General features: G+C 32.6%; 1 protein-coding gene across 17 annotated transcripts in view; it reads right to left on the reverse strand.

Moving 5' to 3' along the window:
- Positions 1 to 13,848, reverse strand: part of DMD (dystrophin) — a 2,220,167-nt gene that overhangs the window by 1,340,996 nt on the left and 865,323 nt on the right. For all 17 annotated transcript variants that reach the window (XM_006724469.4, NM_000109.4, XM_011545467.2 and 14 more), the window contains 4 exon segments: positions 11,947 to 12,092; positions 8,281 to 8,493; positions 4,369 to 4,482; positions 3,222 to 3,377 (listed from right to left, as the gene is read on the reverse strand). In XM_006724469.4, coding sequence (XP_006724532.1) covers positions 3,222 to 3,377; positions 4,369 to 4,482; positions 8,281 to 8,493; positions 11,947 to 12,092 — 629 coding nt within the window.

Consider the following 13,848-nt stretch of genomic DNA (forward strand, 5'->3'; position numbering starts at 1 on the left):
AAAATAATTGTTGGCACGGATGCAGATAAAAAGGAACTACACTACACTGTTAGTGGGAATATAAATGGTACAGTCACTGTAGAGAACAGCATGGAGGTTCCTCAGAAAACTACAATATCCACAAATATCCCCTTTTTCCTGCCTGTTTTTTTTTTCTACCTGGACAATTGCAATCCCTACCTGCTTCCACTTCAGCCCTTTTGATTTATTCTTCTTCTAATAGGAATATGCAGCAAACTTAAAACAACCATTTTAAATGAAATGAAATGATGCCACTCCTATGCTTAAAAGTCAGATGACTTTCCAAAGTACTTGACATAATGACTAAATCATCACTGTGGCTTCCATATTCCTTTCTGACTCATTTTCCCACTCTTTTTCTCCTGGCTTCCTTTGAGCTCCTCAAACATGCTAAGCCCTCTCTTGCCTCAGATGTTTTCTCCACTTCATTTTCTGGCAGAATTCCTTGACACAACAAATTGTCAAGTTCCTACTACTCGGGTATCAGCTTTAATTTCGCCTCTTCAGAAAACACTCTACTGACTACCCAATAGAAAGTAGTTTTCCTGCTCCTGTCACTCTCATTTAAAGGGTTCTTATTGCTACATTCAGAGTGTAAGCAAGACTTCAAACAAGACATTGTTGTGATAATGTGTTAACCTATTTACTTTCCATTTTCACCACTAAACTATTATCTCCGTGAAGGTAACTACAATGTCTATTTTATTCCCTCACTTATATCTGATCATTTTTTTAGAAATAGCTAGAATCTAGATTTTTAAACTTATATACATACCCTTTAAAATTTAAAATAATAACCATTTTATATACCCAAAATTAGATCATGGGATGTGAAAGCATCTTCAAATGTATCAGATATTTGGACAATTTTGTTTCAAATTATTTATGTTTTCGCAGACATTGGCATCTGGTGACAAAAAAGGAATTATCTTTAACCCAAAAGAGTGTATCACACACTTATTTTGTCTGTAGATATTTCTGTAATGCATAGATTTACACTTCATTTCCATTATTCTCTCTGGAATGCTGAATTGGTAACAATATTCACATATGGCTTCCTTGTTTTTACCGCATCGTCTTCTTCTTCTCCTTGAGCGCCATTGTTCCTTCCTTTTACAACCTAACTCATTTGGCTACAAAGTCAGAACATGGCCAGAGTGATACTTGTAGGAAAAGCACAGATACATATAATATTCTAAGATTAGAAAATGGAGATCAGAACATAGCTTGGATCTATAGCTTTTTTGCTATGCAACAGATGAGTGTGTTTAAAATATATCTCTTGAACAACAAATTCTTAGTACATATAACAGACATAAGGTCTTAAGCAAAGACATTTTTAGAGAGCCTTTACAAATTGTACTCCTGTAAAATGTAAAAACCTTGAGGTTTTAGTAATATTGTTGGTTTTATACTTTTTTTTTTTGGCTGATGTTTTCCCCTTGCTCTACATAAATTGGTGATGTTCTTTTTATTCATCCATTAAGAACATTCAACAAACAAAAAACAAATACCTTTCACACTGGCCTTCCAGGAAAACATCAATGGTATAATCTATTATTTAAGTAATATTTTTTTTTTTTCCTAAACAACTCTTCTAGCACTGACTTACTTCAGGAGAAGAATGTGAGCTAGCTGACCCAGGGACAGCTCATCTGTGAATTAACAGAACCAATGAACACTTGTCAGTGATTGTATTAGCTGAGTGATTTCCCTTGACTTTTCTAATTTTTTTTTTCATTTTCAAATGTAGCTTTTGCCTTTTGACATTACTTCTTTTCTATTTTGAAAGTTTACTTAGCAGTAACCAAAGACCAACTGCCTCTAACACGTAAATTGAAACCCCTTATTAATTTCCAAAAAGGTACAGTAGTTCCCTTGTATCTTTGGAAGATATGTTCATACCAAGACCTCCAATAGATGCCTGAAACCATAGATGATACCTAACCCTATATACACTAGATTTTTTCCTACTCATACATACCTATAAAATTTAATTTATAAATTAGGCATAGTAAGAGATTAACAACTAATAAAATAGAACAAGTTATCTCTCTTCTTCTCCCTCTCAAAATATCTTATTTTACTGTGCTCACCGATTTTAGGATTCCAATTGACCACAAGCATTTGAAACCAGGGAAAGCAAAACTGCAGATGATCGGGGACTAATGTATTGGTGAACTTAAAAGTATTCATTGCTTTAGTTCAAAATTTTATCTTTCGAACAAGAAGTATTTGATATACACTATTTTTGAATATATCTTACTATCCGTAATTGAATATTTAAATATAAGAGAGATATCTATAAAATATTCTTCTGTAGAAAAATGAGAAACTCAAATATGAGTGTACAGTCATTTTGTGTGTGTTTTTTTTTGAAATTCAGCTATTCTTAATGGTTACTGAATCTTAATTGTTATTTAAAACTAGATGTCAGCCAGGTGTGGTAACTCACACCTATAATTCCAGCATTTTGGGAGGCCAAGGAAAGAGCATTGTTTGAGCCCAGGAATTCAAAACCAGCCTGGGAAACACAGCAAGACCCTGTCTCTACCAAAAAATAACAAAAAATTAGCCAGGCATGGTGGCACACACCTGTACTTCTAGCTACTTGTGGGGACTGAGATGGGAGAATTGCTTGAGCCCAGGAGGTTGAGGCTGCAGTGAGCCGAGTTCACACCACTGCACTCCAGCCTGGGTGACAGAGGGAGACCCTGTCCCAAAAAATAAAATAAATAAATAATAAATGTGTCGAAGAGGCCAAACTTGGAAATGTTAATCGAAAGTTATAATTATTTATCCTATTTCTACATACACATATATTAGCCATGCATTTTATTTTGTACCAAATATCTCCGTGTAACAAATTTTTCTTAATCCCATTATTATTATACATTTATGTTCTGAAGAAAACATGGATTGGAAATAATGACTAAGAATAGGATTTCATTTTTTAGTATGACAGTTGTGTTCAAGAAAGTCATTTTAGGATCAAAATAAGATGAATGTGTACTATTTAAAATATATACCATGAAAATATTTAGATATGCTAGAAAAAAGATTAATTTGTCAGAATTAATTGTGCTTTAAAGCAAAAACATAGGAACAAAGCCTTAACCAAAAGTAACGGTGAAGGGAGACATTAGGAAATCTTAGTTAAGTACGTTGAGGCAAGCCACAGTGAAAGAGATTGTCTATACCTGTTGGCACATGTGATCCCACTGAGTGTTAAGTTCTTTGAGTTCTGTCTCAAGTCTCGAAGCAAACTCTGGCTCTGCTTCATTCTTTATCTTCTGCCCACCTTCATTGACACTGTTTAGACTGGGCTGAATTGTCTGAATATCACTGACTAAAAGCTAAGAAAATAAATCAATTTAAGCCAGCTGAAAAAAATTACTGCCACATATTAGATATGAAACATAGCTAGAAAATGTAAAATTGGGACTGATGGCATTGCATATGGATTTTTGTCTTTTAAAATCTGAGATACAGAGATATTGATATAGATGACTGCCTAACAGTCTTGCAAAAATGTTCAATGGTTATTATGGCATGAATCCAGTGGGGAATTATTTGTATTCTACTTATATCAGAAACAAAAGGAAATAAATTTAATATTTCTGGTTAGAAAAATGTGTGAAAATGATGGGCTTCATACTTTATTATCTTTGTTAGTATTTTCATTTTCAAACACAGGATACTGCAGAAATTGTTTACAGTGTAATGGGTGTGAAGGTTATTTGTGAGGTGGATTTGCTTTTTTAGCTTGTATTGTAAAAAAATTTCCTTAAAGAGCAAGATTGTTTTCTTCCTGCTGCATGACAATGGTATAATGAATATTATTTCAAAATGCATACTGTGTTATATTATAGTACAGTGCATTATAGATGAAGAGAACAACACAGTATGAATAGTAATTTATCATAAGAAATAACAAGTAGCTCAAAGGATTCTTTACCTTTAAATTATACTGCATTTTATAGTAAAATAATGTTATCAAATGAGGTTGAGTACAAGGCAATGTTTTGTCAGTTCCTCATTTACTCAACCCAGGGTTTCTCAACATTGGCACTAGTGACATTTTAGATTGTGCAGTTCCTTGTTCTGGAGGAATGTTCTATGGACTGTACGATATTTAGCAGCATCTCTCTCCTCTACCTATTAGACACCAGTAGCATCTAACCACCACCCCCAACCCAGCTGTGACAATCAAAAACGTCTAGAAACATTAAAAAAAATCCACTGGGGAGAGGAGAGCAAAATCCACCCCAGCTGTAAAACACTGATCTAACCAAATAATATTCATACAAAATTATTCATATTAAAGGCATCATATAAAAATCTTACTCTGCACTGTTTCAGCTGCTTTTTTAGAATTTCTGAATCCCCAAGGGCAGGCCATTCCTCCTTCAGAAAAACATCAACTTCAGCCATCCATTTCTTCAGGGTTTGTATGTGATTCTGAAACGAGACCCGTTATAAGGCATTACTGGTGTGCTGATTACTTTTAACACAATTCATCATTGTGTTATGTCTAAACACAGGCCCAAAAACAATTCCCATGTTTAAAGGATGTCTCTAAGTAGTTCTTGAGGCAAAGAATATTTTTACTAAGACTGCATTTTTATGGTCTACTGTATGAGCACTGGTGTGTGAAGTCTGCTATTGTTAAAAATACAAAATTACTACCAAATGTGGTTTTATGATGTTACTCTCGAGAACATTAAATCATATCCCCCTCTAGAGAAATTTTAAGTTACAAAACAACTCATGAGAATACTAAAAATGTGTCCTTACAGTACATAAAACAAACTATGAACAATAAACTCAATGTAATGGTGTCTTTATAGCCTCCCTAAACCCGAACTTTCACAAATTATTTTCTACAGATGACAGTTTAAATAGTCCTTCCAGTTGGGAACTTTTGGACTAATATTTTGTCATCTTCAAAGACAGAGCTTTTGCTTTTATTTGTCTGACCAGTACGAAGTAATGATCAGGTAAAAATCATCATCTTTTATCATTTATAAATAGCCAGTATCTCTCACCCATGATTCTTTCCCGTATTACCTTTTTTTCTGCTGTTTTGCCACTTCTAAAAAGTATGATTCAACTATGCTGTCTACATGTGTTATTTTCTTCTGTTTTACTTAAATTTACATTGAAAATATGTGCTCCACAGAAAGTTTCCCCTTTAATGTGATTATTAATAATAATTTTTAAACTATTTATCTAAGAGAACTTCAAGACGATCACCTTGCTGTTATCTTTCAAGTCTACATTTGTTCTTATTTCACATCTTCACTGTCCTTGTTCAGGTCTTTTTTTTTTTGTTTGTTTTTTGTTTTTTTTTTTTTTTTTTTTTGAGATGGAGTCTTGCTCTGTCGCCCAGGCTGGAGTGAAGTGGCACAATCTTGGCTCACTGCAGCCTCCACCTCCCAGGTTCACGCCATTCTCCTGCCTCAGCCTCCCAAGTAGCTGGGATTACAGGCGTGCACTACCATGCCCAGCTAATTTTTGTGTTTTTAGTAGAGACAGGGTTTCGCCATGTTGGCCAGCATGGTCTTGATCTCTTGACCTCGTGATCTACCTGCCTCAGCTGCCCAGAGTGCTGGGATTATAGGCATGAGCCACTACGCCTGGGCTGTTCAGGTCTCATTAGTGACTCCATTAATGCACTGGCTCGTTTTGATATCTGCCTCGGTCTCACCTCATTCTAATTACTGATCTACAGTGATGCCAGTAATCTCCTCTCCTCCTTCCTCTCATCTTGGGAATGTTTTGAAAACACAAGTGGAATCATATTATTTCCCTCTTTAACCAATAGCAGTTTTTTCTTATTAAGTTTTTATTGTTATTATTATCAGTCCCATCACCACTAGATTAAAACTCAGATTGTAAAACATAGCATCCAAGGACATTCACTGTCTACTCTCAATCCAGTTTTCCAACCATAATATTTTATTAATCCCCATATATATTGTCTACCCAGTGTTGAACTTATATCATTTAACTGAAAATGCTGCTATGCTTTCTCAAGAACTCTTTCTTTCTCGGTATTAGCTAACTAAATTCTACCTATTTAATCTATAGCAGAGACAACCTATGTTCCGATAATATTTCATAATCCTTTTTCCTAGTTTATGTTGGATTTCCTTCCTGCCTACTGTGACAACCTTTCCCATACTGTTTAATTTATTTACCATGCAAGGCTGAATAATGCTACCCCCAAGATGTCCTCACCCTAATCTCTGAAACCTGTGAGTATATTACCAGAAAGGACTTTGCAGATGTGATTACATTAAGGATTCTGAGATGGGGAGATTATACTGGATCATCCACCAGGGCATAATGTAATCACAAAGGTCCTAATTAAAAGGAAGTCAACACAGGGAACAGGATAGGGAAAGGAAGGTGAGAAGGAGAGGTAGAAAGAGAGGGAGAGGGAGATAGACAGGGAGAGAGAAATTGACACTAGATGATGTTACACTGCTGACTTTGAAGATGGAGGATGGGGACATGAGACAAGGAATGCTTCTAGAAGCTAAAAATGCCAATAAAACAGACTCTGTCGCAAAGCCTCCAAAACAGACAAAGTCCTGCTGACACCTTAATTTTAGCCCACTGAGACTAATCCTGAACTTTTGACTTCCAGAACTCTAATAAATTTGTGTTGCTTGAAGTTATTAAATTTCCGGCAATTTGTTAGGAGTGCCATAGGAAATGAATACACCTACCTTCCTCCTTCACTAGAATGTGGGCTCCTTGATAACAAGAGCCATGTAATTGTGCCCTCTTAGGCCACTGGTCTTGACAAATAATAGATATTTTCATGCAGTATTTACATAGGTATGCATGTACACATATGTTTATAAGTAAAGAAATGCTATGCATTAAAAAATGTTTTAGGTTTGCTTAGTGCTTTGGTTTGTAAAAGGTAAGCACAAAAACTAAGCAGCTAGACTGGGATTTAAATCCAGGAGCATATTGTTGCAATGTTTTTCCATCATACCATAACGTTTTCGACATTTCCTTCCCAGCATTAACATTTGTCACAATAATTGACCACTCAAGGGACACATTACTTACCTTATTGAATATTTTAGGCTTTTAGACCTTAATGCAATTGTTGGTTTACTGTTTTTCTTTAGCTTGAGTGGTTATTAGTATGGTGGCACTATTCAAACAAATTAAGTCAAGGGAATTTGGTTTCAGGAAGAAGGTGATGTGGTAAAATTTAAGCATATAATTACAAATTCGATATGGTGATAAAATAAGTTATTACTATATATTACATATGTAACATTAATATACATATACAACAGGTTACATATGTGATATATATTACATTAGATATGTATATATGTACATGATATATAATTCCATTATACACGTATATATATATATATATACACACATATATACATGTTATATGTATGTGTGTGTATATATATACATATATATATGGAAGCTAAAAATGCCAATAACACACATTCTCTTTCAAAGTCTCCAAAACAGACACAGTTCTGCTAACACCTTAATTTTAGCCCACAGAGATTAATTCTGAACTTCTGACCTCCAGAACAGTAATGTAATAAATTTGTGTTGTTTGAAGCCATTAAATTTCTGCTAATTTCTTAGGAGTATCATAGGACATTAATACACCTACATTTCTACTGCACATATACATATATGGAGTTATACATAATGGGATGAATATATAATGCAATTTTATGAACATATCACCATATTTTATATATAATAGCACATATAGACAGCATAGTTGACTCCTACTTTTTATAAGTAGCAAAACAGCAGAAATGAAAGGTAATATAGGAAATAATCATATACATACTATACATTATATATATAAAATGATTACAATATACCTCTGTATAATGTATATATACATAACTTTTTTCTAGTCATAAGCTAAATGATTACCCGTATCTTAAAAGACAACCAGACTAAATGGATGATTGGTTTTGAAAATTATTAAACTAAAAACATGTTTAATTCCTATTGGTAATGGTGAAAATAGAAAATTCATTCTAAAAACACTGAGAAAACTCCTATTCTTTTCCTAGAAGGAATAAGCAAATCGCCATCCTTTGTAAAAGACTCATGTCTTTTCATCTTCTCACTAACTTTGAAAGATGCTGAAGGTCAAATGCTTATGTACCTTTACAGTTTACAGTGTATCGTTAGGGAAAAAACAAGTAAATAAAAATGAGGGTAGAAAGTAAAATCTTGAATTACCTGAATTTTTCGGAGTTTATTCATTTGCTCCTCTAGCTTTTGACAATGCTCAACCAGCTGGGAGGAGAGCTTCTTCCAGCGTCCCTCAATTTCTTCAAATTCTGATTGATATTTCCGGCTAATTTCAGAGGGCGCTTTCTTCGACATCTCTTTCACAGTGGTGCTGAGATAGTATAGGCCACTTTGTTGCTCTTGCAGAGAACTTTGTAAAGCCTAAAAAACAATTTTTTAAATACATTTACCCTAATTGATGAATAATAATTGATGAGTTTTAGTGAAATTAACTGTACTTGAAATCTATATGATTCAAACATGTAAACAAAGTAGATGATCTTCTATCAGTTATAAACTTCTAGTGGTAATTTAAATTTTACATATTATCCTAAGAGTAACTTGAATATTATTTAGTGGTATTTAACACTCCATATGTATTTTTCTGAACAATGTCAAATATATCTCAAAACTATATCTTACAGAGCCAAAAAGTTTTGGTGCATCTAATTTTACTGAATTAAGTATATATATTAATAACTGCATTTGTGATACAGTTAATGGAGTTGAAATTAATTATACTGAGCTTTCAGGAAAGTAAACTCTACATAAAACTATAGCTAATAATATTGATATATGGAATAGAAAAACTTATTGAACAATCTATGTACTTAATATATTTTCAAAAAATGTTATTCTGTTATGTAGTATTATGGTGGGATTCAAGGATAGTTTTGTGGAGAATTTATAAAATTTATTTATACTTATTCTGTATAACACATGTAATTTCTTACAGTAGGATCATAACTTTAGACTTCCCCTGTTCAATATTTACTTTAATGTTACTTTTACTTTATAAAATAATAAAGGCTCATGACAAAAATGGAAAAAAAAACCAGAACTACTAGTACTTTATATAAATTTTCAATTTGTTCTATGTATAGCTAAATATTAAATATATGATCATGTATGCACATATAAACAGTTATTCTTTCCCCTATAATGTGACCTATATCAACCCAAAATTTGTCAAATATCTAAGTTTTATAGTTTCATAGTATCCTATGCCTATTTGGTGGTACTTAATTTGTTTTTTTACTTTACTTTTTTAAGTTTATTTCACTTTTTCAAATTGTTCCCCTATGACTGATTATTTAGACAATATCTAGCATATAACTACACTTTGAGCTAGGTGTTTTAGTGTGAGCATTTGCCCATGTCAAATAATTATTTTTTCAAAAACAAAAATTGTAATGGCTTTTCTAGTTCAACAATTTCCATTATTAGTTCTACACATTCATTTCTAGTTTTCCACTCCTGTAAATTATGTTTATCTCTATCTACCTACCTATCTAATCCATCCATCCATCCCTCAATCAATCAATATCCTATCTATCTCCAGTTCCATTTACATCTTTGAGTGTATTCTGATTATTTCCATCAGATACAGATTTCATGGAAATTATATTAATGTTGTATGTTATTAGGATGCACTGAAGAGTTAACCTCAGTAAAATTCATATTGAATTTACATTTCCAGCAGTAAGAGACAATTTTTATTTCACCACTTGCAAATTGGTACTTATATCTTTTGTGTGTATGCAATTTAGTATGCAAAAAAAATTCTCATCTTGTAATTTTTTTACTTCTTCCTTTACAATTTAAGTTACAATTATTCATAGGTTTATTATTCATATATGTCTCTTTTTGGAGGATACCTTACTCAAGACTTTCTTCCTTACTCACAGAAAAAAAAAGATTCCTTGGTATCATATTTCTTTAAAATTGTCTCTGGTGTTTTTACAATGTTTGTGATTGTTTCCATCGATTTTTATGCTTCTCCACCTAAATTTTTATAACATTATTATTTTAAATATTTTCCAAAATTTGGGCTTCCCCACATTTTTTGAACATTTTATTGTATGTGGTTTTTATTTTGGTGTAACTTTGGGGGAAATGTTCATATCTTTTTTTTTAGTTAGTTAATACATTTCCCAATAATATTTATGAACAATTATTTTCTTTCCTATCTTTTTCAGTGGAAATAGTCTCTTCTGCTCATCTAACTGCCTTTTCTTGTGTTTTCTCCACTCTTATTCTTGCACATTTTTATTCTTATGTTTAAAAGTTTACTAGTTCTATTAGGCAACACATTTTTCCAGATAGACTTTGGAATCATTATGCCAAGCATTAAAAACCACAACAAAAGGAAACAAAAAAGGTGAAACAGCTACCATTTGGTATTGTAGTAGAATAAATATCTAAATAGGACAATACATAATGAAAGTTGTTTAAATGTATTTTTCTTTGAATACATTACTTCAAAAAAATATTTAATTATCCAAAAAAAATTCTATGTGATAAAGTTTAAATTTGAATTTTTAAACATTTTTCTTAAAATGCACATATTATCTCAGCTTCTAAATATAACTAATACGTTTTCATGTCTTCAGAAATAAAAAGTTATTGAACATATAATGTAGTATTTTATAATAAGTAGGAAAAGGGCTGGGCGCAGTGGCTCACACCTGTAATCCCAGCACTTTGGGAGGCTGAGGCAGGCAGATCATCTGAGGTCAGGAGTTTGAGACCAGCATGGCCAAGATGGTGAAACCCCATCTTTACTTTAAAAATACAAAAATTAGCCAGGCGTGATGGCACGCACTATAATCCCAGCTACTCAGGAGGCTAAGGCAGGAGAATCACTTGAACCCGGGAGGCGTAGGTTGCAGTGAGCCGAGATAGCACTGCTGCACTCCAGCCTGGGCAACAAGAATGAAACTCCGTCTAAAAATAAAATAAAGTAGGAAAAGTATTATAAAATCTCTTACAAATTATTTCTTTCATTTCCCATATTAGTATATCTTTCCTGATAGAAGGATGTTAAAAAAATGTAGCTATTAGAATTCAAATGTCTCATTACATTACAGAAAATTAATGTTTAAATTTAAACCAATTTTATAAATATAGCCAGCCCTCCATATTTGTGGATTCTGAATGAGTGGATTCAGTCAACTACTAATAGATAATATTTGACAAAAATAACTACATCTGTACTAAACATGTAAGACTTTTTCATTGTCACTACTTCCTAAATAATACAGTATAACACATATTTTCATAATATTTACATTGTATTAGGCATTATAAGTAATCCAGAGATGAGTTAAAGTATATGGGAGCATGTTCATAAGTTATATGCAAATATTACACCATTCATATAAAGGACTTGAACATCTGTGAATTCTGATATTCATAGGAGTTCCTGGAACCACTTCCCCATGGATACGAAGGGATGACTGTACACTGATTTTACCCACCAGTTTGAGAATGTGACAGGAGTTACAAATAAAGAAGCAAAGGTGGGGAATAAAACAATGGTTTTTCTAATAATCAAAATCAATACATCTGAAAATGCATGCTAAATTAAAAATATACTTCATAAATAGATCATACAATTGTTTTCAAAAACAGCATGTATATATGCCCATACATATATATCCATAGATAGAGTATATGCATAAATAATACTGTAAAGTCTCATTTTCATTTGCTCAATGGGCAAACTACCATACTTGTCAGAATGACTTAAATTCTAATATTATTTAAAGGTTATATCAATGTGAATGCTTGATAAGCGTGCTTTATTGTTTTGACATTCAAATATTCACAGACCTGCAATTCCCCGAGTCTCTGCTCCATGATTTCATAGTCGGTGACACTAAGTTGAGGTATGGAGAGTTTGGTTTCTGACTGCTGGACCCATGTCCTGATGGCACTCATGGTCTCCTGATAGCGCATTGGTGGCAAAGTGTCAAAAACTTTATCAAAAGGGAAAAAAGAATGAGAATCACTTAATTGTTTCACACTTTGCCATGTTTTCCTAAATTGTCAGCAAACTCAATTATATTACTAGTTTCAAATATTAACAAAATTAGAAAATCTGAAAAATATATTTAATATGATTATGAAGATACATTCCTGCTACATGTGTAATATGCCAGGGACCTTACACATATTACATTAAATTCACAAATCAGCCTGTAAAATCTATATTGTTCAATTCGTTTTATAAGGTCAGGAAACAGAAAAACAGATAAGGGCAGGAAACAGAAAAACAGAGAAGCTAAGTAAATTGCCCAAGGTGATACAGATGGTATTTGCAGAAACCGAGCAGGGTCCAATTGTATCTGATACTGAAAGGCTACTCTCTCTCAGTGTTATCATTTGCCTTGGAAAAAAAATAGTATCATTATCCGAAGACCTTGATTTTTAAATTATATCATGTCATGTCTAATTTTACTGAAAGAACACCCATGTACGCATGCTTAGTATATGTATCAAGAACTCTAGTAATAACCCCATAAATATTATCATTCTTAATTCTTATAATAAACCTGTGAGACATATACATTGTTAATCCCAATTGCAATTGAGAAAACAGGCTATTAAAGAGGCATATGTGTATGTATATACTTTTATATGTATAATTATATTAGGGAAAGTATTATATAGAGATATACAGTATGTATATACAAACAAGTTTATACGTTTTAAAGTATGTATGTGTATATGTATATATATGAAATGTGACTTAAGCAGCCACATGGACTATATTGAAAGAGATTAGACACAAGATTGAGAACGCTGCAGAGAACTGTAAACCATAAAAAGGACATAACATATTTTAGGGATAATCCAAAAGAAATTCTAGAATTAAAAATACAGTAAGTGAAAAATAAGAATTAAGTGCATGGGTTTAACAGCAAATTTGACAGGGGTAAATAGAAAATTACTAAATCTTAAGATTCAGAAGGAAATACCTGGAATGAAGCATGGAGACACAAAAAGATAGAGAACACAGTAAAACGGTCTAATATATATGCATCCCAGAATGTGGCAGAAGCCATATTTAAACAGATAATGGCTAATAATGTTTCTAAATACATGAAATCACACTGCAAAGTCCTGGTTTATATCACCACATCAAATAACATTATCTAAATCATATTATTTTAATTGCTGGGATATGAATGTCATTTCAATATACCAATTCCTTCTACACTAAATGAGAAGAATATAGGAAAGTATTTTGCATGTATTTAATGTAGTATTCAGATGGTTGCGATAATCTTAGAGAGTGTGTTGGCAATGGATGCTGAAATGTTAGAAATGGATAATTTTTTTCAATATGTTTATATTGCATTTATTTGGGAACTCATAAAAATGTTAAGAGATTATATTTAATCTGAGCACTTCTGATTTCTTATTAAAAGATATTTGTAGTACTTAAAATCTGTTTTAATTTACATAAATAATATGTTTCTCTATTAACCTGATGCATTTATTTTTTATTTTTCCATAAGTTATTGGGGGTAAAGGTGGTATTTGGTTACATGAGTAAGTTCTTTAGTGGTGATTTGTGAGATTTTGGTGCACCCATCACCTAAGCAGTATACACTGTACCCTATTTGTAGTCTTTTCTCTCTCCCCCCAACCTTCCCCACAAGTTCCCAAAGTCCATTATATCATTCTAATGCCTGTGTGTCCTCATAGATTATCTCCCACATATCAGTG

The sequence above is a fragment of the Homo sapiens genome, chromosome X, assembly GCF_000001405.40.
Source record: "Homo sapiens chromosome X, GRCh38.p14 Primary Assembly".
NCBI classification, from domain to species: Eukaryota; Metazoa; Chordata; class Mammalia; order Primates; family Hominidae; genus Homo; species Homo sapiens.